General features: G+C 42.1%; 10 annotated features.

The window, feature by feature from the left end:
* Positions 3,651–4,147: an enhancer, noted in NCBI's record as "CNE6 PCR-amplified transgene fragment". NCBI's record gives its function as "enhancer in diverse tissues in zebrafish embryos, especially heart and ear at day 2, and muscle, ear, eye and heart at day 3" and the evidence as "EXISTENCE:transgenic organism evidence [ECO:0001131][PMID:21731768]".
* Positions 3,896–3,984: a conserved region, noted in NCBI's record as "conserved region; CRCNE00011100 more deeply conserved sub-region". NCBI's record gives the evidence for it as "EXISTENCE:sequence alignment evidence [ECO:0000200][PMID:21731768]".
* Positions 17,875–18,781: a meiotic recombination region, noted in NCBI's record as "meiotic double-strand break mapped by DNA meiotic recombinase 1 chromatin immunoprecipitation followed by single-stranded DNA enrichment and sequencing on the X chromosome in the germ cells of some male individuals with the PRDM9 A/A genotype". NCBI's record gives the evidence for it as "EXISTENCE:chromatin immunoprecipitation-seq evidence [ECO:0000229][PMID:25395542]".
* Positions 17,875–18,966: a biological region, named in NCBI's record as "SHOX downstream enhancer, distal recombination region". NCBI's record gives its function as "recombination_partner: LOC108251803".
* Positions 17,976–18,966: a meiotic recombination region, noted in NCBI's record as "meiotic double-strand break mapped by DNA meiotic recombinase 1 chromatin immunoprecipitation followed by single-stranded DNA enrichment and sequencing on the Y chromosome in the germ cells of some male individuals with the PRDM9 A/A and PRDM9 A/B genotypes". NCBI's record gives the evidence for it as "EXISTENCE:chromatin immunoprecipitation-seq evidence [ECO:0000229][PMID:25395542]".
* Positions 18,336–18,337: a chromosome breakpoint, noted in NCBI's record as "distal breakpoint sub-region, recombines with the proximal breakpoint sub-region within the SHOX downstream enhancer, proximal recombination region, resulting in a recurrent 47.5 kb deletion". NCBI's record gives the evidence for it as "EXISTENCE:nucleotide sequencing assay evidence [ECO:0000219][PMID:22791839]".
* Positions 18,368–19,022: an enhancer, noted in NCBI's record as "ECR1 PCR-amplified reporter construct fragment". NCBI's record gives its function as "enhancer in human U2OS osteosarcoma cells" and the evidence as "EXISTENCE:reporter gene assay evidence [ECO:0000049][PMID:22791839]".
* Positions 18,487–19,007: an enhancer, noted in NCBI's record as "CNE7 PCR-amplified transgene fragment". NCBI's record gives its function as "enhancer in zebrafish embryos in day 2 skin, and in day 2 and day 3 brain, fin and cardiovascular system" and the evidence as "EXISTENCE:transgenic organism evidence [ECO:0001131][PMID:21731768]".
* Positions 18,571–18,742: a conserved region, noted in NCBI's record as "conserved region; CRCNE00011101 more deeply conserved sub-region". NCBI's record gives the evidence for it as "EXISTENCE:sequence alignment evidence [ECO:0000200][PMID:21731768]".
* Positions 18,810–18,919: a conserved region, noted in NCBI's record as "conserved region; CRCNE00011102 more deeply conserved sub-region". NCBI's record gives the evidence for it as "EXISTENCE:sequence alignment evidence [ECO:0000200][PMID:21731768]".

A 26,264-nucleotide genomic window follows, 5' to 3' on the forward strand; every position in this document is an offset into this window, starting at 1 on the left:
ATAGATGAAAGATATTATGTAGGTGATAGCTAGCTAGATGATTGATGAATTTGTACATAGATAGATGATTGACTGATACGGTTTGACTCTGTGTCCCCACTCATCTCTCACATTGAATCATAATGATCCCCATGGGTCAAGGGGGGGACCAGGTGGAGGTAATTGAATTACGGGTGCAGTTTCCCCACACTGGCCTCGTGATAATGAGTGAGTCTCATGAGATCTGAAGGTTTTATAAGCATCTGCCATTTCCCCAGCTGGCACTCCTTCTCTCTCCTGCCGCCCTGTGAAGAGGTGCCTTCCGCCACGATTGTGAGTTTCCTGAGGTCTCCCCAGCCATGTGGAACTGTGAATCCATTGAATCTCTTTGCTTTATAAATTAGGCAGTCTTGGATATGTCTTTATTAGCAGCATGGGAAGAGTCTAATGCTAGAAAATTAGCCAGGTGTGGTGGCTTGAGCCTGTAATCCCAGCTACTTGGGAGGCTGAAGTCGGAGAATCACTTGAACCTGGAAGTTGGAGGTTGCAGTGAGCTGAGATTGAGCCACTGCACCCAGACCTGGGTGAAAGAGCAAGACTTTGTCTTAAAAGGAAAAGAAAAAAACCTCAAAAACAAACAAACAAAACGAACAAAATATTCCATCCCATACCAAGGTTATCCAAACTTGACTTCTGGCAAATTGAGTGTTTTCTGTTACTTACCTAGTATCAACATTTCTTTCTTTCCTCCTTTCTTTCTTTCTTTCCTCTCTTTCTTTCTTCATTTCTCTCTCTTCTTTCTCTTTCTTCATTTCTCTCTCTTCTTTCTCTCTCTCTTTCTTTCTTTCTTTCTTTCCCTTTCTTTCTTTCTTTTTTCTTTTTTTTTGAGATGGAGTTTTGCTCTTGTTGCCCAGGCTGGAGTGCAGTGGTGCCATCTTAGCTCACTGCAACCTCCACCTCCCAGGTCAAGCGATTCTCCTGCCTCCCAGGTAGCTGGGATTACAGGCGCCCACCACCATGCCCGGCTGTTTTTTTGTATTTTTAGTTGGGACTGGGTTTCACCAAGTTGGCCAGGCTGGTCTCAAACTCCTGACCTCAGGTGATCCACCCACCTCGGCCTCCCAAAGTGCTGGGATGACAGGAGTGAGTCAAAATATTTTTTCGTGTTGTGTGTTTTTGTTTGTGTTTTTGAGACAGAGTCTCGTTCTGTCACCTAGGCTGGAGCGATCTCAGCTCAGGGCAACCTCCATCTCCTGGGTTCAAACCATTCTTCTGCCTCAGCCTCCAGAATAGCTGGGATTACAGGCGCCCACCATCACGCCTGGCTAATTTTTGTATTTTTAGTAGAGACAGGGTTTCACGATGTTGGCCAGGCTGGCCTCGAACTCCTGACCTCAGGTGATCCACCCACCTCAGCCTCCCAAAGTGCTGGGATTGTAGACATGAGCCACCACGGCCGGCCACACCATTACTTAAATGACATTGAAAAGCACTTCCCTGGAAGCCAGATCCAGGCTGTTTCACAGTTATGGCAGTGGAGGACTTCCCAGAGCTGCTGGGCAGTTGTCCAAAAACCAATCTCTAAGTGGTGCTTTTTGGCAGCTCTAAAGGTGCAAACTTCATGGGCCTACACAAAATTGCACACGGGCTTAGCGTGCGTGGGGTCCCTTGGAACGTAGGCATCTTTGCACTTCTAGGTGGCCTTCCTTCTGAGCAGGGGGTATCTGGCTGCCTGTGGCTTTTCTCCAGCAGGAAGGGGGGTATGTGCATTGGCAGACATCAATGAGCATGAGAGATATGAATAGGGCTGAGAACGGCAGACTCTGCCCTGGATGGTGGGAGATACTCGCCAGAGGTGGCATTTCTTCTTCTGAGTTGGTCAGCACGACATGCACCCGTGGCAGCCTCTGGGACAGTTTTCTGATCCATAACAAACTTAATGGACTTGGGTGGTCTCTAGGTTCTCTGGCTTCTGACGCTACATGAACTGATGTATTAGTCAGTTCTTCCATTGCTACAGACAAATACCTGAGACTGAGTAATTTATAAAGAAGAGAGGTTGGCCAGGCACGGTAGCTCAAGCCTGTAATCCCAGCACTTTGGGAGGCTGAGGTGGGTGGATCACCTGAGGTCAAGGGTTCAAGACCAGCCTGGCCAACATGGTGAAACCCCATCTCTAGTAAACATACAAATAATTAGTTGGGCGTGATGGTGTGGGCCTGAAATCCCAGCTACTCAGGAGGGTGAGGCAGGAGAGTCACTTGAACCCAGGAGGTGGAAGTTACAGTCAGCTGACATAGCACCACTGCACTCCAGCATGGACAACAGAGTGAGACTCCATCTAGGAAGAAAGCAAGAAGGCAAGAAAGCAAGAAAGCAAGCAAGCAAGCAGGAAAGAAAGAAAGGAAGAAAAAAAGAAAGAAAGGAAGAAAGCAAGCAAATAAGAAAGCAAGAAAGCAAGCAAGCAAGAAAGAAAGAAAAAGAAATTAAGAAAGCAAGCAAGTAAGAAAGAAAGCAAGCAAGAAAGAAAGAAAGTAAGAAAGCAAGCAAGTAATAAAGCAAGAAAGAAAGAAGGAAAAGAAAGAAAGTAAGAAAGCAAGCAAGCAAGCAAGACAGAAAGTTAGAAATTAAGAAAGCAAACAAGTAAGAAAGAAAGAAGGAAAGAAAGAAGAAAAGAAAGAAAACAAGTAAGAAAGCAAGCAAGTGAGAAAGAAAGAAAGAAAGAAAGAAAGAAAGAAAGAAAGAAAGAAAGAAAGAAAGAAAAGAAAAGAAAAGAAAGACAGACTTTCCATCTGATGCTACGCTCACTATTTAAGGGATGTGTTCCATGGAAGCTCAAGCCTCCGCTTCAGACAATATATCCATATAACAATCCTGCACACGTGCCCCCGAATCTAAAATAAAAATGAAAAAAGAAACCACTTTCCACGAGCTATTTCTTTTTTTTTTTTTTTTTTTTTTTGGATTTTTTAGTAGAGACGGGGTTTGGCCCTGTTGGCCAGGCTGGTCTCGAACTCCTGACTTCCGATGATCCACCCACCTCAGCCTCCCAAAGTGCTGGGATTACAGGTGTGAGCCACCGGGCCTGGCCTTTTGTTTGTTTTGTGTTTTTTGAGATGGAGTCTCTTCTCTCACCCAGGCTGGAGGGCAGTGGCATGATCTTGGCTCACAGCAACCTCTGTCTCCTGGGTTCACGCGATTCTCCTGCCTCAGCCTCCCGAGTAGCTGTAAACTTTCACAACTGCGAATTTTTTCTCCTTCTCACTGTCCCCAGGGACAGTGTCCCAGGGAAGGGACAGCCCTTCCCAATTCGATCTCCCTTGTCAAGCCTGTTAGTGCCTCAACTTCCACTTTGAAAAGTCACGTCAACGCTGCCTGAATGTGCGGTTGTCCTTAAAAGACCGTTTGAATGAATTGTATTGTGTTTAGTGCAAGGACAAGGAGGATTGGGGTGGAAATGTGGAAGGGAAACCTCATCCCTGTGTGTGTGTGTGTGTGTGTGTGTGTGTGTGTGTGTGTGTGTGTGTGTGACATTAACGTGCTGCCACTCAAATGCACCTGTTTCCTCTCAAGGAAAGTCACTTTCAAGAAAGATGCGGTGGAAAGTCGTTTGTTTGTGATCACCGGCGTGTTGGAACACCGGGCTGGTGAAAGCAAATAATGCTGTTACCTCGTCGTCATACTGTCACTGGATACGTTTTCCTGGGGTGCAGGGAAGCTCCTTCTGATATAATACAGGGTGAAGAGATTCCCCCAAGAAGCCGTTGTTTCGGAGTCGAAACAAAGAAAAGCTTTTGCAAAACCCCCTGTCTCTAATTTCGTTTTAGAAAATTAGATACTCAGAATTTTGCCTAAGATAACTGTATTACCGGGATGCAATTTGCTGTAGGTTGCTAGCTTTCCTGCGCGGGATCCCTTAATAAAAAGTGTCAGTTAAAATGAAAATACAGCTTGGGTAATTAAATTTAATTGGATCTTGTCACTTTACATCCGCTTCGTTTTGGAGGGTTTCTACGGAATTGCAGCTACCCGGTTTGCTAATTTCTTGACGGCAAGCTGCTGAGGAGAAGCTGACCCTCCTCTAATCAACTGACACCCTGTTTTTGCCAGGACTCTGAACCCTGCTAGTGACGATAAACAAAGAAAAGGGAAGGAAGGGCTTAGGGTAGGAAAAGAGGGGGATGGAGTTATCTGTGGGTGATTAACTTGTTCTCCCAGCGAGTGAGCTGCTATTGTTACCATTTGCAGGGGAGGAATCCCAGCTCTGAGAAAAGGCAGTGATTTTTCCTACCAGGACGGATTTCCATCCCTGCGATATAATATCCGCAGATGTTTCTTCTAAACACTGTGAGCACCTACAGGGCAGCCACCCTTTACTCAGAGAGAGCCAATGCTCTTAATGCATGATGGTTCTGGAGGCCACGTCTCCCAAATCAGCCTCTCTGCGCTACCGTGAACGGGTGTGCAGGACTGAGTTCCTTCTGCAGGTTCCAGGAGACAATCTGTACTTTGGTGTTTTCTGGGTCCTACAGGAAACCCACAACCCTTGGCTCCTGGCTACGCGTCTCCTCTCCTTCTTCCTCTTCTGTCTCCTAATCTCCGCCTGTCTTCATCACACAAGGACCCTTGGGATTCCATCGGCCCACGTGGATAATCCCAGGTCACCTGTCCATCTGCCCGTAACTGAATCACATCTGGAAGCACCTGTTGCTATGAGTGCTCACATGCTCGTAGCTTCTAAAGATTGGGACCTGGGTATCGTTGGAGGTCCTCATTGAGCTGATCATGGGGAATAGAGAGTGTCAGGCCTCTGAGCCCGAGCTAAGCCATCATATCCCCTGTGACCTGCACGCATACATCCGGATGGCCTGAAGCAACTGAACATCCACAAAAGAAGTGAAAATGGCCAGTTCCTGCCTTCACTGTTGACATTCCACCATTGTGATTTGTTTCTGCCCAACCGTAACTGACCAATGTTGTTTATAATCTCCCCTACCCTCAAGAGGGTTCTTTGTAATCTCCCTAACCCTTAAGAAGGTTCTTTGCGATTCTCCCCACCTTTCAGAATGTACTTTCTGAGATCCATCCCCTGTCCCCAAAGCATTGCTCCTATAACTCCACCGCCTGTCCCCAAACCTATAAGAACTAATGATAATCCCACCACCCTTTGCTGACTCTCTTTTTGGAAACAGCCCGCCTGCACCCAGGTGATTAAAAAGCTGTATTGCTCACACAAAGCCTGTTTGGTGGTCTCTTCACACGGACGCGTGAGACAGAGATATTCCAGCAAATATCGGTCAGTGAGGGCTTGAGAAAGGGGGGAGGCCAAAGACTGGTCTACACCGGCTGACCCCGCCTGCCGGCTCACAGGGCATTTTCTCCTGGGGCCAGAGTTCCATCTCCCACCACAGCTCTGCAGACACAGCATCCAAAAATCAAGAATGCTGGATGCATGGAGAGAGTGGGCTTATCCTGAAGTCTGAGGAAAGAAGGAAGGAAGGAAATAAGGAAGGAAAGAAAGTAGGGAGGAAAGAAAGAAGGAGGGAAGGAATGGAGGAAGGAAGATTGGCTCAAGTTATCCTCCCACCTCATCCTCCCGGTAGCTGCACTGTAAGTCTGGATTGTAAAAGTTAAAGGAAACGGGGCCGAGCGCAGTGCCTCACGCCTGTCATCCCAGCACTTTGGGAGGCCAAGGTGGGTGGATCACTTGAAGTCAGGAGTTCGAGACCAGCCTGGCCAACATGCTGAAGCCCCGTCTCTACTAAAAATACAAACATTAGCCACGCCTGGTGGCGGGTGCCTGTAATCCCAGATACTCGGGAGGCTGAGGCAGGAGAATTGCTTGAACCTGGGAGGTGGACGTTGCAGTGAGCCGAGATCATACTCCTGCACGCCAGCCTGGGCAACAGAGCGAAACTCCATCTGAAACGAAACAAAGCATTTAAGGAAAGGATTGCCGATGCCCTCGGATAATTCTCCTTAGAGACAGTTGCCCAGATTTCAAGTTTTTTTCTATTTGAACAAATAGGTGGATATACATGGTGGGTGTAGACTGTCAAATACATAAACCTCAAAATCTACAAAGTCTTCACAGAGGTGTGGGCTGCACTCTGAAAAAAAAAAAAAAAAAAACTTTGGGAGGTGGAGGCAGGAGGATCACTTGAGCCCAGGAGTTCAATACCAGCCGGGACAACACAGTGAGACCCTGTCTCTACCAAAAACAATAAACAAATATTAACCAGAATAGTGGCACACACCTGTAGTCCAGCTACCTGGGAGGATGAGGTGGGAGGATAACTTGAGCCAATCTTCCTTCCTTCCTTGCTTCCTTCCTTCCCCTCTTTCTCTTTCCTTCCATACTTCCCTCTTTCCTTTCTTCTCTTCCCTTTTCCTTTCCTTCTTCCTTTCTTACAAATAAATAATGAGTATAATAAAAAATAAATAAATAATAAATAAATAATGAAATTAAAAATAAAATAAATCAATTAGTAAAATAAAAACAGAAAAGGTTTTTACTTTATAATAATACTATTAATATTAATAGTATTATTATTATTTGAGATGGAGTCTCTCTCTGTCGCCCAGGCTGGAGTGCAGTGGTGTGATCTCGGCTCCCTGCAACCTCCACCTCCCGGGTTCAAGTGATTCTCCTGCCTCAGTCTCCCAAGTAGCTGGGATTACAGGCATGTGCCACCATGCCTGGCTAATTTTTGTATTTTTAGTAGACATGGGGTTTCACCACTTTGGCCCCTTGCTGGGTGAGAGGGTCTCCTGCCACACATCCCAGCCTCTCTGGGAGCCTCCATCTGCAGAAGGATGCACTGACTGTCTGTCTCTAGTTGTGCTGACCCACCCTCCCTGCACCTCTTTGTCTGTAGATTCAAAGCTGTGTAGGAAGTAGCTTTTGACAGCCTGGCATATCATGTCTTATGTAAAACCTTCTAATTTATAGAGGGCCTCAGGTTTAATCTTACACATTCTCCCGCCGTATCCTAAATTATCAATCATTTTAATGACATGTAAAAAAAAATAACAAGCAAATCTTAGAGGACATCCTTATCGCCTATTTTAATACAATTTCCTAAATCAAACATCATAGGGAAGCTCATATAAAAAACTTACGCCTAGCAAGAAATTAAAGAAATATGTACTTAGGGCAATCAACGTTACACGGATAGACTTACCAGATCTTTAATTTTATACAAACGAGCTTCTCTTCGTATTAAAAGACGCATCTGGCTTTTTGAATGACAGACTCACCGGGTCCACATATGCAGAGACGTCTTTGGAATCATAAATACTAGCTAGCAACAGTCCTACATTAAACTTCAGGTCTTAATCAGGTCTTACACCACGTGCATTCTTTGTTGTTGTTGTTTTGTTTTTTTGAGATGGAGTCTCGCTTCTGTCACCCAGGCTGGAGTGCAGTGGCGTGATCTCTGCTCACTGCAACCTCTGCCTCCCAGGCTCAAGCGATTCTCCTGCCTCAGCCTCCTGAGTATGTGGGATTAATAGGTGCCTGCCACCACGCCTGGCTAATTTTTTGTGTTTTTAGTAGAGATGGGTTTTCACCATGTTGGCCAGGCTGGTCTCGAACTCCTGACCTCCTGATCCGCCCGCCTCGGCCTCCCAAAGTGCTGGGATAACAGGGGTAAGCCACCACGCCCGGCCATATTCCTGCTGTTTTAAACCCATCTGTGCATTGGACTTTGCTACCGCAGCCCTACGATGCTGATGAGGATGGTGATTTTTGTTTGCTAAATCATAGGTTTCTGCCTGTTTAGAAGGCAATTTAAGCGCGAATGAAATGAATCTGCTATCTGTGCAGGGCCCTCGCCAGCCATCTAACCAGCCATCTTCGACGTGGCCACTACCCCTTATTAGCAGCAGTTCCTGGCACCCACAGCCTCCCACACCCAGAAAGCAAACTTACAGTTTGACCACCAAAATTTAAAAGTATGTGGCTGTACGGATGACCCCGCTTGTTTGAACTCCCAAGGAACAGAGGAGCTCTTGTTTTACAAGTTTATTGCACGATGATATACTTTAATTTTATACAAACGAGCTTCTCTTCGTATTAAAAGATGGTATACAGTGGAGAGAGTATGTTTGGATGTTGGAAAAAAATCTCGGAAAGAGAGAGTCTTTTGTAACTGGGTATACACAGGTGCCAGCCTCTTGCTGTCCATTTGGGAGAGTGCTTTTTTAGAAATTTTTGAAACAGGGTCTGGCTAGGCTGCCCAGGCAACAGTGCAATGGTGCAATTATAACTCACTGCAGCCTCAATCTCCTGGGCTCAAGCAGTCCTCCTGCCTCAGCCTCCTGGGTAGCTGGGACTACAGGAGTGTGCCACCAAAGTCAGCTAATTTTTTATTTTTTACTTTTTGTAGAGGTGGGGTCTTGCTACATTGCCCAGTCTGGTCTCAAACTCACAGGCTCAAGCAGTCCTCCTGCCTCAGCCTCCTGGGTAGCTGGGACTACAGGCTTGTGCCACCACAGTCAGCTAATTTTTTATTTTTTACTTTTTGTAGAGGTGGGGTCTTGCTACATTGCCCAGTCTGGTCTCACACTCAGAGGATCTCCTGCTTCAGCCTCCCAAAGTGCTGGGATGACAGGCATGCACCACCACATCCTGCCAGTTTGAGCCAGTTCTATTCCCATGTCCCAGAGCTTCATTGGACCAATGACCGGGCATTTCATTCCCTCTTCCCCAAGAACTGAAGCGGATGAGCTTTCTCTTGGATGTTGTATGTTAGTGCTGGGATCTGTCAGTAGAGAAGGGTGCATGCCTGCCTTTTTGGAGCACACACATATAGACACACAGACACTCTCTCAGTGGCTCTTGACCTCTAACCATCAAGGCTGGGTGCGTGCATGGCCCCAGGATCCCAAGCATCCCTCAGGGGCTGACACTGATTGTTCGGTCTTCTGGTCAACCACTCAGTAAGTTCTTCCTCAGGCTCCTTGCTCACCTTGGCCACCATCCCCACTCTAAACGTTCCGGGGGCTCTCCTGTCCTGGCTGCAATGATGCCCCAGGATTCTTGGGGACAGGGGATTCTATGGGGACTCACCGAAGAATGAGAAGGGTAGCAAGATAGTTAGATCATAGCTAAATAGATAATAGGTAGATGATAAATAGATAGATGAAAGAGAGTAGATAGATGGTAGCTATAGGTGATAGATAGACAGATAATAGGTAGATGATAGGAAGGTAGTAGATAGATGTAGATTAGATAGACAGATAGGCAGATGATGGAATGTGAGTAGATGAATAGATAGATGATAGATAGATACATACATACGTACATATATACATACATAAATACATGATAGGATGTAATGGATAAAAGATAGAGGCACAGATGATAGAATGTGCGTGGATGAATAGATAAAAGATAGATAAAAGGATGTGAATGTATGAATAGACAGATAACAGATGGATGGATGGATAGATAATAGGATATGAGTGGATGAATAGATAGATAAACAGATGATAGGATGTTAGTGGATGAATAGATAGATGGATAGATAGATGTGATGGTGGGTGGATAGGTGGATGAACAGATAGATAGATATATGGATAGGTGAATAGATAGATACTAGACAGATGTGATGGGTGGATGGATAGATGGATGGATGAATAGATTGATAGATTGATCAATAGATAGAGAGATGATATATGGATTTCTTTTAATAGATATGACAGATAGTAGACAGATGATAGATGAATAGATGGATAGTTATTAATAGATAGATAGACAGAAAGATGATAGAATGTGAGTGGATGAATTGATAGATGATAGATAGATAGATAATATATAGATAAGATAGATACATAAATAGATACATAGATAATAGGATGTAATGGATAAAAGATAGATATACAGATGATAGAATGTGAGTGGATGAATAGATAAATGATAGATGATAGAATGTTAGTGAATGAATAGACAAATGATAGATAATAGGATGTGAATGTATGAATACGTAGATAATAGATGGGTGGATGGCTACATAGGTAGATAGATAGACACATAGATTGATAGATAGGTAGATAGATAGATAGATGATAGATAATAGGATATGAGTGGATGAATAGACAGATAGATGATAGATAGATAATAGGATATGAGTGGATGAATAGATAGATACATAGATGTGATGGTGGATGAACAGATAGATACATGGATAGATGAACAGATAGATACTAGATAGACATGATGGATGGATGGATGGATGGATGGATGGATGGATGGATGGATAGATCGATCAATAGATAGATGATAGATAGATAGATAGATAGATAGATAGATAGATAGATAGATAGACAGATAGATAGACCTTCATGAAAAAATTCCCTACATTTAGTAGAATGCACTAGGACCTTACCCCTGGGGATGCTGAAACTTAAGTTGAGATTTGGGTCAACAACACAATGATTGTTTTCCAGGACGTGGCATCTGCTGATTCTGGGGACCAGCCTGAGGGAAGGCACGAATTTTGTCCTCCTTCTTCCAGAAGGAGGCCTCTTTGCAAATGGTTCTTGGGGAGAAAGTTTGCCTCTGGCTCTTTGGTATATTTCTGCATCTCAAGGGACATTTCTATCTCAACCTAATACTGAATTCCTCTTGGATGAGTCTCAAAATCATGGTGTTTCTCTTCAGTTTCATGACTGGAGGGGGTGAGAGTCGGTGGGGTGGACACACCCATCCTCAGGACAGAGTCAGCAAGGAAATAAATATACTCCTGGTTCTCTAGTGGAGAGTTTAGCAATTTAACCTGAGAGGTTGGAGACTACCTACTCTATTTTCACGAGCAGTCTTGGATTTGGGGCCTCACTAAAGAAACTCATAAAATGCAAAGCACAGATGTAGAAAATGACCAAGAAAGAAAACAACTCGAAAATCAGTTTTAGGATGAGCCCAGGTTAAAAACGCAGCATACAAGCTGGGTGACGTGGCTCATGCCTGTCATCCCAGCACTTTGGAGGCTGAGGTGGGAGGATCACCTGAGGTCAGGAGTTTGAGACCAGCCTCACCAACATGGTGAAACCCCGTCTCTACTAAAAGTACAAAAATTAGCTGAGTGTGCTGGTGCGCACCTGTAATCTCAGGTACCCGGGAGGCTGAGGCAGGAGAATCGCTTGAACCTGGGAGGCGGAGGTTGCAGTGAGCTGAGATCATGCCACTGCACTCCAGCCTGGGGGACAGTGTGAGAGTTTGTCTCAACAAGCAAAACAAACAAACAAACAAACAAAAACCCCACAACATAATTCATTCGAACCCATTCTTAGTCATCTTTGTGAGATTAAAAAACCACAAATTCTGATTCACTGGGATAGGGTTGAGACAGAAATCCATGCGAGTTTGAAAAGCATGTAAATTAGCTCAGACATTTTCAAGCACACACGGGGATTAAAACTCAGCCAACAGCTCTTCACTGTTGGGCCGCTCTATTACCAGGACTTTGATAAAAAGATGAAAGTGCACTGAAATGGTGGTCTTCAGTAGGTGAACTCTTCTGCTCAGAGGTTTTCCTATAGCTGAGATATTCTCCTGTGTCTTGTCCCTGCCTTTACTTTCACATATTAGTAGAGAATGAAAAGTTGAAGAATTTGACTTCACTTTGGGTGTTCGTTGGTGCAATGGATATGGTTGTCTGTTGAAGGGAGTGAACCTCTGAAAACGAAGCCATGGGCTGGCTCTCAGAGCTAAGATAAAATATAAGATGTCATGAAGACCAAAGAGAGGAGAACCAGTGAAACTGGAATACAGAGTCCCAGACAATACCCTGGCTGGGTGGAGAAGATGCATGGATTTCATTGATAAGAGACTGCAGGATTGTAAGACAGATGTACAAAATGGCTCAGAGAGAAAACTTGGGGTCTTTCTCTAGCCTGCTCCCAACATCTGATTTCTTTTTTCTTTCTTTCTTTTTTTTTTTTTTTGAGATGGAGTCTTGCTCTTTCACCCAAGCTGGAGTGCAATGGTGTGATCTCAGCTCACTGCAACCTCTGCCTCCGGGTTCATGCAATTTTCCTGCTTCAGCTTCTTGAGTAGTGGGGATTACAGGCGCCTGCCACCATGCCTGGCTAATTTTTGTATTTTTATTAGAGATGGGGTTTTGCCATGTTGACCAGGCTGGTCTCGAACTCCTGACCTCAGGTGATTCACCTGCCTCGACCTCCCGAAGTGCTTTTTAAAAAATTTTCTTAGTATTTTTTTTTTCAAGGAGTCTTCAACAGCAGGAACCACATCTGAATTCTAAACCTCTCTTTTCCAGCTGATGACAACGTTGCCTTCTCTGAGTGTTTGACCCATCAAAGCCAAACTCTTTCTTCCACCATCTCCTGAAGGCACCATCTTGGTTGGCCACTGAAGTAGGCTGAATGTTGATGACCTGGAGAAATAGATCCTTGTCCTAATCCCTAAGAAGCAGAGAATGTTCACTTACGTGGTAAAAAGCGTCTTTGCAGACATGATGAATGAAGAATCTTGAGATGAAGAATTATCCTGGATTATCTGGGTGGACTCTACATCCAATGGCAGGTGTCCTTCTGGGAGACAGAAGAAGAGACACAGACACAGAGGAGAAGGCCACGTGGAGACGGAGGCAGAGACTGGAGTGATGCGGCCACAAGCCCAGGGACGCCTGGAGCCCCCAGGAGCTGGGAAAGGCAGAAAGGATCCTCCACTAGAGCCTCCAGAAGGAACTAGACAGAGTTGTAATGGATTGAACAGTGGCCATGAGATAGACACGTTCATGTCCTAACCCCCAGAACCTGGAATGAGATCGCATTTGGAAATAGGGTCTTTGCACATATAATTAGTTAAGGATCTTGAGAGGAAATCGTCTTGGATTAGGGTGGGCTCTAATTCCAATAACAAGCATCCCTGTAGGAGACAGAGGAGGAGACACAGACACAGAGGAGAAGGCCACAAGGAGACGGAGGCAGAGACTGGAGTGATGCGTCCACAAGCCGAGGGATGCCTGGAGCCCCCAGGAGCTGGGAGAGGCAGGAAGGACCCTCCCCTGGGGCCTCCAGAAGGAACTGGATACAATTGTAATGGATTGAACAGTGGCTGTCGGAAAGACGTATTCATGTCCTAACTCCCAGGACCTGGAATGAGATCGCATTTGGAAATAGGGTCTTTGCACATATAATTAGTTAAGGATCTTGAGAGGAAATCGTCTTGGATTAGGGTGGGCTCTAATTCCAATAACAAGCATCCCTGTAGGAGACAGAGGAGGAGACACAGACACAGAGGAGAAGGCCACAAGGAGACGGAGGCAGAGACTGGAGTGATGCGGCCACAAGCCGAGGGATGCCTGGAGCCCCCAGGAGCTGGGAGAGGCAGGAAGGACCCTCCCCTGGGGCCTCCAGAAGGAACTGGATACAATTGTAATGGATTGAACAGTGGCTGTCGGAAAGACGTATTCATGTCCTAACTCCCAGGACCTGGAATGAGATCGCATTTGGAAATAGGGTCTTTGCACATATAATTAGTTAAGGATCTTGAGAGGAAATCGTCTTGGATTAGGGTGGGCTCTAATTCCAATAACAAGCATCCCTGTAGGAGACAGAGGAGGAGACACAGACACAGAGGAGGAGGCCACATAGAAATGACGGCAGAGTCCATCTAATTCAGGACACTCTCAACTTGAAATCCTGAATTTAACGTGTCTGTAAACACCTTATTTTTAATTAAGGTTACAAATAGTGTCCTGGCAACGGTGTGTTTTAGGGGACACTTTAAGCTAATACAGAGAGTGACAGCTGATTCTTGTAATTATCACAGAAAGGGAATTTTCATTTGCTGGAAGAGAGAAGAAAGCAGAAATTAAACAGGCAGTTTCTTCCACGTTGCTTTGGGCTCTGTTTGATTGCATTTACTCCAACCTCTGATGCCCTGAAGTGAAGGGTTTGGACTACAAACCTCAAATGGGCTTCCAGCTCCAGGAATTTATGAACTTGCATTTTTTTTTTTTTGTTTTTGGTCTTTTGACAGAGGCCCTGAAGCGGCTACAGTAGAAGAAAAACAAATCTTCTACGAACAGAGAATTACTCTGGAAGGTCAAAAGCTAAGCTTAAAAGGATCTATTAAAACTCAACAGCAAGGCTGGGCGCTGTGGCTCACTCCTATAATCCCAGCACTTTTGGAGGCTGAGGCGGGAGGATCACCTGAGGTCAGGAGTTCGAGACCAGCCTGGCCAGCATGGTGAAATCCCGACTCTACTAAAAATACAATAATTAGCCAGGCATGGTGGCGGGCGCCTGTAATCCGAGCTACTCGGGAGGCTGAGGCAGGAAAACCACTTGAACCTGGGAGGCGGAGGTTGCAGTGAGTGGAGATCGCACCACTGCACTCCAGCCTGGGCGATGGAGCGAGACTCCATCTCAAAGAAAACAAACAAAGAAACAAAAACAAACAAACAAAACCCCTCAACATCAAAAGGACAAACAACCCAATTAAAAAGTAGGCAAAGAACTAAAATAGACATTTCTCCAAAAGAAGATAAAGAAATGGCCAAGAAGGGCATGCAGAGATGCCCAGCATCACTTACCATTACTGACGTCAAAACCGCGTTGAGAGACGGCCTCACACCCACGAGGATGGCAAGAAGGATAGTTGAGGCAATATTAGCAAGCGTTGATGAGAATGTGGAGAAACTGGAAGTCCTGTCTACTGCTGGAGGGTAAAATGGCACAGCCGCTGTGGGAAATGGCATGCACCTCACCAAAAAATGAAACATAGACTTATCCTACGATCGCATGATCTCACTCCTGGCTGTGTGCACCCAAAATAACTAAAAACAGACTCAAAGAAATACCAGAGCACAAAGAGCGGTGGTGCATGTGCCTGTCATCCCAGCTACTCGGGAGGCTGAGGCAGGAGAATTGCTTGAACCCAGGAGGAGGAGGCTGTGGTGAGCCAAGGTTGCGCCACTGCACTCCAGCCTGGGCGACAGAGCGAGTCTCCATCTCAAATAAATAAATAAATAAACACCACACCTGTAATCCCAGCACTTTTGGGAGGCTGAGGCGGGCAGATCCCGAGGTCAGGAGTTCGAGACCAGTCTGGCCAACGTAGTGAAACCCCCGTCTCTACTAAAAAATACAAAACAATTAGCCGGGTGTGGCCGTGCACGCCTGTAATCCCAGCTGCTTGGGAGGCTGAGGCGGAAAAATGGCTTGAACCCGGGAGGCGGGGAGGTTGCAGTGAGCCGAGGTTGTGCCATTGCACTGCAGCCTGGGAGACAGTGAGAGACTCCATCTCAAAATAAAAAATAACATAAAATAAATAAATAATAAATAAATAGAATCTCCAGTCCTTGGGCTCAGGGCTATTTGTACACACAACTACAGGGAGACTTTGGGTTTCCCGGTTCGGTTTTCCTTTAATCCGAAAGCTCTTCTGGAAAGAAAGTGATATTTCACCTGTTAAAGCTGCTGAATTATTCTCAAGCGGGTTCCGCGTATCTTGCACCTGTATTGGCCGATGAGCGTGAGAGACGCTCCCATCTCGTTACTGGGAGAGGTGGGACTGGGGGGCTTCATCGCCAGAGGGATGAGGGGCTCGAGGTACTTACCTTTGTGGTGGGGACATTAACTACAGCATAGCCTGAATCTTGTGATGTTGAACCGTGCACGGCGGCACTGCCTCGGGGTCTCCCCAAGAGGCTGTTGATGTCTGTTTTACTTTTTTTATATTTATTTATTTATTTGAGATGGAGTCTCGTGCTGTCACCCAGGCTGGAGTGCAATGGCACGATCGTGACTCACTGCAATCTCTGTCTCCCGGGTTCAAACGATTCTCCTGCCTCAGCCTCCAGAGTAGCTGGGATGACAGGCACCCGGCACCACGCCCAGCTAATTTTTGTGTTTTTAGTAGAGACAGGGTTTCACCATGTAGGCCAGGCTGGTTTTGAACTCCCAACCTGCTGATCTGCCTGCCTTGGCCTCCCAAATTGCTGAGATTACAGGCATGAGCCACCACGTCCAGCCTTTATTTTTATTTTTGTTTATTTATTTGAGATGAGTCTCGCTCTGTCTCCCAGGCTGCAGTGTGATGGTGTGATCTTGGCTCACTGCAACCTCCGCCTCCCAGGTTCAAGTGATTCTCCTGCCTCAGCCTCCCGAGTAGCTGGAATTACAGGCACCCGCCACCACGCCCGGCTAATTTTTCTATTTTTAGTAGAGATGGGGTTTCACCATGTTGGCCAGGCTGGTCTCGAACTCCCGACCTCAAGTGATCCACCCGCCTCGGCCTCCCAAAGTGCTGGGATGACAGCCATGAGCCACCACGCCCGGTGGATGATGCCTATTTTATAAATCAACGCCTAGAAAGTTTAGCATGTCCAGAATCTTTCGGAACAGGTGCTACCAGCCACCCACCTGGGCTGGTTCTTTTATTTCATTTCATTTATTTATTTCATATTTTATTTTATTAACATTTTATTTAATGTATTATTTTATTTATTTATTTTATCTTTGATTGTATTAGTATTTTATTTCATTATTTAATTTTATTTTTATTTCATTCTATTTTGTTTGAGACAAGGTCTTACTCTGTCCCCCGGGCTGGAGTGCAGTGGCTCGATCACGGCTCATTGCAGCCTCAAATTCCTGGGGTGAAGCAATCCTCCCATCTCAGCCTCCTGAGTAGCTGGGATTACAGGCACGCACCACTCCTGGCTAATTGAAACTGGGAGACACAGGTTGCAGTGACCCGAGATTTTATAATAATTTTATAATTATTATAATTATAATTTAGCATAATGTTATAATCATAATTATTATTATTATAATTATAATAATGTTATAATTATAATTATAATTATAATAATGTTATAATTATAATTATAATTATAATTATAATAATGTTATAATTATAATTATAATTATAATTATAATAATGTTATAATTATAATTATAATTATAATTATAATAATGTTATAATTATAATTATAATTATAATAATGTTATAATTATAATAATGTTATAATTATAATTATAATTATAATAATGTTATAATTATAATAATGTTATAATTATAATTATAATAATGTTATAATTATAATTATAATAATGTTATAATTATAATTATAATAATGTTATAATTATAATCATAATGTTATAATTATAGTTATAATAATGTTATAATTATAGTTATAATAATGTTATAATTATAATTCTAATTATAATAATGTTATAATTATAATTATATTTATAATTTTATTATAATTATAATTTATAATAATATTTATAATTTTATTATAATTATAATTATAATTTATAATAATATTTATAATTTTATTATAATTATAATTATAATTTATAATAATTTTATAATTATATTTATAAATTATATATTTTATATAATAAAATTATATTATAATTATAATTATAAATTATAATTTATACCACTCCTGGCTAATTTTATAATAATTTTAACATTGAGGTTTCAGTATGGTACCCAGGCTGGTCTCGAACTCCCTGGCTCAAGCAATCCTCCTGCCTCAGGCCTCCCAAAGTGCTGGGATTACAGGTGTGATGTTTATTTATTTATTTATTTGAGACGGAGTCTTGCTCTGTCGCCCAGGCTGGAGTGCAGTGGCACAACCTTGACTCACTGCAGCCTCCACCTCCTGGGTTCAAGCAATTCTCCTGCCTCAGCCTCCTGAGTAGCTGGGATTACAGGCATGCACCACTCCTGGCTAATTGAAACAGGGAGACAGAGGTTGCATTGAGCCGAGATTTTATAATAATTTTATAATCATTATAATTATAATTAATAATAATGTTATAATTATAATTATTATTGTTATAATTATAATAATGTTATAATTATAATTTATAATAATTTTACAATTATAATCATTATAATAATTTGATAATAATTATAATTATAATTATAATAATTTTATAATTATATTTATAAATTATATTATATATTTTATATAATAAAATTATATTATAATTATAATAATAAATTATAATTATAATTTATACCACTCCTGGCTAATTTTATGATAATTTTAACATTGAGGTTTCACTATGGTACCCAGGTTGGTCTCGAACTCCCGGGCTCAAGCAATCCTCCTGCCTCAGGCCTCCCAAAGTGCTGGGATTACAGGTGTCAGCCACTGTGCCTGGCTAATTTTTTTTTTCTTTCAGGTAGAGACGGGGTCTCACTGTGTTGCCCAGGCTTCGGTTTGTCCTTTTAAATAGCCGATCGGGATATTTAGCGTTACGGTTATGCCTGGTTCCATAGCAGGGGTATTGAATGGTATGGAATCAAAATCGGGATATGACATTGTTACTGTAAGATGCTGTGAAACCTGCTCTCCACACTCCCTTGTAAACGGAGACAGGGGGGTTTGCCCCTTGTCCATCTGCGTCTACACATCATCCTGGTAGGGACTGTACCTTTTGCCCGTCTTTCAAGGCAAAAGAATCCTCCTGGTCCCCGGGTGGATATATAGGCTCCTGTTTCCAACGCTGGAGGCTGCAGCTCACCCCGCTGCACCCCACTTACCCACCGCTTCTGATCTGAACTCCGGGCTGATGTGGATTCAGCCAAACTGCCTGCTGTACCCCATTCCCATTCAATCCATTACGCGGCTCCCTCCACCGACTCCTCATCTCCCTGACTTCTAATTTGACAATGACAAAGAGCTCCGCGGTGATTTTAAATTTCATAATTTTAATCTGTCAAGCCTGACATTTAATTACTGCCCTCCTCACCTTGCAGCCACGTACGAGGGGGCTGCTGTGCGTCTTCCTTTAGAATGTATTTTTTCCCCCTTCCGTGGAGGAGTAGACTAATAAATAAGTATATGCATAACTGCCAGGTACAAGACAATGTGCCAGGGATGGTCTATTAGCCCCAAATCTAGACAGATGAGGTTAATCATATTTCCAAGTGCCACTTTATCGTATTAGGAGTGATTAAAGCACAGCCTCGGCCCCCGGATGAGACGTCCGTTGGAAACATGAAACAGGAGACCTGGTCTGTGCAGTTTCATGTGAGCCGTTAGAGAGGCACACAGGGAGGTTGTGGGAGCCTTATGGGAACCCCGATTTGCTGCGCTGCTGGTTGTGGGGTTTGCAAACAAAGCAAGGCAAGCAGGGATTGCTAAGAGATGGCTCTGGGCAGCTGGGGTACGAAGGTTGTTTGGGACACCTGGGGCCGTTCCTTGGGTGTCTGTGGGAGGAAAAGTCTCTCTCCACACGCTGCTGTAATAGCAGGTGTAACAGACTCATCATAACTGGGTTACCTGTGTTGAGACCGTCCACCTTGACTTAGGTCCAAGCTGACTTCTTTTGCTTTTGAGACGGACTCTCATTCTGTCGCCCAGGCTGGAGTGCAGTGGCACGATCTTGGCTCCCTGCAACCTCCACCTCCCTGGTTCAAGCGATTCTCCTGCCTCAGCCTCCCGAGTAGCTGGGATTACAGGCGCCCGCCACCACACCCGGCCAATTTTTGTGTTTTTAGTAGGGACGGGGTTTCACCATGTTGGCCAGGCTGGTCTCGAACTCCTGACCTCAGGTGATCCGCCCGCCTCGGCCTCCCAAAGTGCTGGGATGACAGGCATAAGCCACTGCGCCCAGCCCTTATCCCATAATCTTTCAATTTTTTAAAAATATTTGAAGGCATGCATCATCACATTCTGAGATCTCATGGATGAAGCTGGAAACCATCATTCTCAGCAAACCATCGCAAGGACAGAAAATCAAGTCTACCATGAGAAAGACCCATTCTAATATGCCAAAGCAAAGCATGATGCACCTGGGGAGCCCAATTTCAGGTCAATATGGAAGAAGAGATGTCTCAATGCCAGAGTTGTGTGAGGGTGAAATGGCTTTTAATGACCAGGGTGAAATGTATTTTAGTAGAGACAGGGTTTAATGAGAAGGCGAGTTTCCTTCCGTTGGACATACCCCAGAGACCCCTGTGTCCCACCCAGAGAAAACCAAAGGCAGGTTCCAAGCAAGGGTCAGACGTTGGACTTCACAGCCCTGCACGTCCCTGCTAAGTCTTGGAGTCCATAAGACGTCAGGGGGCTGCCGCCTGTGTCAGCTTCCTCTCTGCAAGTCCAGGGATGGCAAATGGATCACTTCAACATTGAAAATGCATTTTTGTATCAGTGTGGGCTGCAGAATGTCTCCAATGCAAAGAAAAACCTCATCATCCCAGGCAGAGACTTGGCAAATACCTCCTATCTGGAATGTTTGTACAACATGGTCTTAGCCTCCATTCCCATGTTATACATAATTCGTCCCCAGTGGACATAAAACAGTTCGTAACAATGCAAAAAATGCTTATCCTCGTAGTCCAATTGCAGTAAAAACAAAAAACAAAAAAGATCCTGAAAGATTGAATTTTCTTTTCTTATGATACATTCAGAATTGCGGTCCAGAATAATCAAGCCATATTATTTTCCATAAATGTCTGCATTTTTTTCTGGGAAACCCCAAGGGCCCTCTATGCAGAATGAAAAGCTTGGTCTAGCTTGAGATTTGGCAAGAAGCTGTTTAACACGGAGAAGGGCCAGGCAACAGCGGTTCCTCAGGTCATTTCCCACCATAAATAGCTCAGTGCAATTTAGAGAATGAGAGGGAAGTATTTTGTAATTTCACTAAAAGATTAAGAAAATATAATAGTAATTGCCAGGTGGGAAAAAAATCCTTTTTTTTCTGTTTCAAAAATCAGTCAAGAGGAGTTTAGAAAGGAGATCAGATTGGAAGGGGGAGGGTTATTTATTTAATTTTTGTTTTGTTTTATTTTTAAGAGAGAGTCTCGCTGTGTCACCCACGCTGGAGTGCAGTGGTGCAATCTTGGCTCACTGCAACCTCTGCCTCCCAGGCTCAGGTGATTCTCCCGCCTCAGCCTCCCAAGGAGCTGGGATTACAGGCACCCGCCACCACGCCCAGCTAATTTTTGTATTTTTAGTAGAGACGGGGTTTCACCATGTTGGCCAGGCTGGTCTCAAACTCCTGACCTCAAGTGATCCATGTGCCTTGACCTCCCAAAGTGCTGGGATTATCGGCCTGAGCCACCATGCCTGGCCTTACTTAATTTTTTAAATCATTTTATCCTGAGCTTCTAACACACTGGTCATTGGGAGCACATGGTAATCACAAGGAAGAATTTTTAAAGTTTTTTTTAAAAAATGTATCAATGATAATGGGTACATAATAGTTGTATATATTTATGCCGTGCATGTGCTGTTTTGATACAAGCATACAATGTATCGTGATCAAACCAGGGTGACTGGGGTATTTACCACCTCAAGCATTTATCATTTCATTTTATTTATCATTTATCATTTTATTTCATGATGTCAAATCCACTGTTTTAGTTATTTTAAAATATACAATAAGTTATTGTTAAGTATAGTCACCTTACAGTGCTACCAAATAAGAGATCCTTTTCATTCTACCTCACTCCATTTTTAACTTTTTTCAATTATACTTTAAGTTCTAGGATACATGTGCAGAACGTGCAGGTTTGTTGCATAGGTATTCACGTGCCATGGTGGTTTGCTGCACCCATCAACCCCTCATCTACATTAGGTATTTCTCTTAATGCAATCCCACCCCTTGGCCCCCCAGACCCTGACAGGCCCCAGTGTGTGACATTCCCCTCCCTGTGTCCATGTGATCTCATTGTTCAACTCCCACTTATGAGAGAGAACATGCAGTGTTTGGTTTTCTGTTCCTGTGTGAGTTTGCTGAGAATGATGGTTTCCAGCTTCATCCATGTCCCTGCAAAGGACATGAACTCATCCTTTTTCATGGCTGCATAGTATTCCATGGTGTATATATGCCACATTTTCTTTCTCCAGTCCATCATAGCAGTGTATATAGTTATGGGGTATAAGGATATTTTTGTACCCATTACCATCTCTACCATTTCCTTCCTTCCTGCTACTTTTCTCAGCCTTCGGTCACCATCATCCTCCTCTCCATGTCCTTGAGTTTAGTGTTTTTTGTGTAATTTTTAGCTCCCACACATGTGTGAGAACATGTGAAATGTGTCTCTCTGTGCCAGCTTGTTTCACTGAACATAGTGACCTCCTCTTCCATCCATGTTTTTGCAAATGACAGGATCTCTTTTTTTTTTTTTTTTTTTTTTTTTTTTTTTTTTTTTGAGACAGAGTTTTGCTGTTGTTGCCCAGGCTGGAATGCAATGGCTCAATCTGAACACACTGCAACTTCCACCTCCCGGGTTCAAGCAATTCTCCTGCTTGAGCCTCCTGAGTAACTGGGATTACTGGCACCCACCACCATGCCTGACTAATTTTGTCTTTTTTTTTTTTTTTTTTAGTAGAGACAGGGTTTCTCCATGTTGGCCAGGCTGGTCTCGAACTCCCAATCTCAGGTGATCCACCTGCCTCAACTTCCCAAAGTGCTGGGATTACAGGTGTGAGCCACCACACCCGGCCAGGACCTCATTGTTTTTTGTTTTTTTTTCCAGCTGAATACTATTTCCTTGTGATTGACAAATAATAATTATATACATTTCTAGAGCACCATGCAATGTTTTGATACGTGCATAGGATGTGGAATGGTTAGATCAAGCTCATTAACAAATGCATCACCTCACATACGTCTCATCTTTAGGAGGTAAGAGCATTTAAAATCGACTCTTTCAGCAATTTTGAAACATACAATACGTTATTATTAACTATGAGAATGAGAAAGAAGAGGACAAGGAGCTCTCAGAGAAGCAGCAAACATAGGTCCAAGGTCCTCACAACATTGACTTAAGCACCAACTGACTGCCTCTTAATTAGGTGCTTCCAAGTAAATATAACTATCATCTATCAGATATAATACCAGAGACACCATACAATATATACGGTAAGGCCTCACCCAACATCATTAATAGGTTATCAGAAATTACAACTTTCGCTAGGCATCCTGGCTCACACCTGTAATCCCAGCACTTTGGGAGGCTGAGGTGGGTGGATCACCTGAGGTCAAGAGTTCAAGACCAGCCTGGCCAACATAGTGAAACCCCATCTCTACTAAAAAATACAAAAATTAGCTGGGCATGATGGTGCATGCCTATAGTCCCAGCTACTCAGGAGGCTGAGGCAGGACAATCCTTTGAAGCCAGGAGGTGGAGGTTGCAGTGAGCCAAGATCACACCACTGCACTCCAGCCTGAGCAACAGAGTGAGACTCTGTCTCAAAAAGAGAAACTGCAGACCGGGCACAGTGGCTCATGCCTGTAATCCCAGCATTTTGGGAGGCCGAGGCAGGTGCATCATGAAGTCAGGAGATCGAGACCATCCTGGCTAACATGGTGAAACCCCATCTCTACTAAAAACACAAAAAATTAGCCTGGCGTGGTGGCGGGCGCCTGTAGTCCCAGCTACTCGGGAGGCTGAGGCAGGAGAATGGCGTGAACCCGGGAGGCGGAGCTTGCAGTGAGCAGAGATTGCACCACTGCATTCCAGCCTGGGCAACAGAGCGAGACTCCATCTCAAAAAAACAAACTGCAACTTTAAGCAAAATGACTTACGTATAACCTATTTTACCATAGGCCAATTGATATAAACAAGAGTTAAATTCCTAGAGCATACAATAGGTCCTTTTGCTTAAAGTTGCTGCTTTCAAGAACCTATTTGTGATATCAAGTGAGAAGTTACTGTATATGGAAATTATATATTTATTACACCTTTTGTATACATATTGTATATTGCGTATATCTATATGTCTTTACATAAATATGTTCATGTATCTATGTCCATTATATGTATTTTATACATATGTATATATGTATAAAATCTATTTATATATACATATGTATCTGTATACATATGTATATATTTATATGTATCTATTTATATATACATATGCATACATACGTATCTATTTATATATACATATGCATACATACGTATCTATTTATATATACATATGCATACATACGTATCTATTTATATATACATATGCATACATACGTATCTATTTATATATACATATGCATACATACGTATCTATTTATATATACATATGCATACATACGTATCTATTTATATATACATATGCATACATACGTATCTATTTATATATACATATGCATACATACGTATCTATTTATATATACATATGTCTCCACTAGCTTGGTGCAAAAGTTAATGGCAAAAACTGAAATTACTTTTGCATCGACCTGGTATTTATATATATTTTAAGTTTAGGTTTTAATTCTATTGATACAGATTCATTTATATAGATCATTGATACAGATGTCCTGTATTTATGGAAATTGCCCCCACATGTGTCTTTTATATTCATCTATGTATATTATAGACATATGTATGTTTTTATATCTACATGTATATCTTTTTACACACATCACTGGAAATAGACTGTTTAAAATTAACTGAACAGATGATGAAAAAAAAAAACTGTTTAACAAGAAAGTTAAGCCACCTTTTTTTTTTTCTGCCTTCTGAGTTGGACTACATGTGTTTCAATAACAGCGTGCTTTTAAAAAGATATTTTTGAAAAGTTGTGGCTCGTCTGGCTTGTATTAGAGGTTGAATTTTGAGGGAAGTGACATATGTTCCCTAGAAGGCCTCCCTCAGTGACTTCGGTCGGACGATTATTTCGGTGTGTTTACGCAGGTTTTGCTAATTTTAAGTAACTGGATGTTTCCTTCATAACGACCTGCCCGGGGAGGAAGAAGCAACGATTTGTCATCCCATAATCTTCCCCCAGGGTTCTCTGCATTTTTAAAATACAAGTCTAACCAAGATCTCCAAAAGGCATCTGAAAAATGTTTTTATGTGTGGAAACTGTTCATTTCTCCGTGGTTGCATAACTCAAAAATAGATGAGGACATTTCTGAAACTTTCCCAGAAAAATCCCTCTTGGGCTAAAACTAACATTCGCTGGAGAGAAGCAAATAGGAAAGCACAAAATAAGGAAAGAAAGGCCTTCAGTGTAAAATGATCATTTTCCTTTTAAGAATTGTCTGCTTATCATGACATGAAAATCATATTTCCGGTAGCTTTTAGAAATCCATGTGGGTGATGCTGATACTTAGAACTGTTCCAGTCATTCTCTAAGCTGAGACTCAGTGAATCCTCAATTGGAATCTCCTTTGTAAAGAACCCACACTCCTATTTTTGGCAACAAACTGGGATCTTTTGTGTTTATTTGTCTTAAATCAGCTTTTACTAAAGAGAGCTACGCCAGCCCCTAAATTACCAAAAGAATAATAGTTTCACGCTATGATGCCTTTCTCGCCCCCGTTTTGTCCTGACGAATGAGAATTGCTGCCTCTTTTGAACGTTCAGCTGTCTGGCGTGAGGGGACTTTCCTTTAGCTTCGGAAGAGTCAGTCTTGGCAGTTTTTGGTAATCAGAAACCAAGAATAAGAATTTGAATGCAGGGAAAACTGTGACACAGGAAATATGTTCATCTGTTACCTATATTTTAAAAGTTGAAAAATGAAGTGCTTTGGACTCTCTCTATATATAGATAGATATATAATATCTATATATATCTATAGATATATATAGATATTATATGTATAGATATTATCTATATAGATATATATAGATATTATCTATATATATCTATATATCTATAATATATATCTATATATATCTATATATCTATAATATATATCTATATATATCTATATATCTATAATATATATCTATATATCTATAATATATATCTATATATCTATAATATATATCTATAATATATATATCTATACATCTATTATATATCTATATCTATATATCTATGATATATATCTATATATCTATATATCTATGATATATATCTATATATCTATGATATATATCTATATATCTATGATAAATATCTATATATCTATGATATATATTTATATATCTATAATATATATCTATATATCTATATATCTATAACATATATCTATATATCTATAATATATATCTATATATCTATAATATATATCTATATATCTATATATCTATAATATATATCTATATATCTATATATCTATAATATATATCTATATATCTATATATCTATAATATATATCTATATATCTATATATCTATAATATATATCTATATATCTATATATCTATAATATATATATATCTGTATATCTATAATATATATCTATATATCTATAATATATATCTATATATCTGTAATATATATCTATATATCTATATATCTATAATATATATCTATATATCTAAATATCTGTAATATATATCTATATATCTGTAATATATATCTATATATCTATATATCTGTAA

This window comes from Homo sapiens, chromosome X, assembly GCF_000001405.40.
Source record: "Homo sapiens chromosome X, GRCh38.p14 Primary Assembly".
In the NCBI taxonomy this organism is placed as follows: Eukaryota; Metazoa; Chordata; class Mammalia; order Primates; family Hominidae; genus Homo; species Homo sapiens.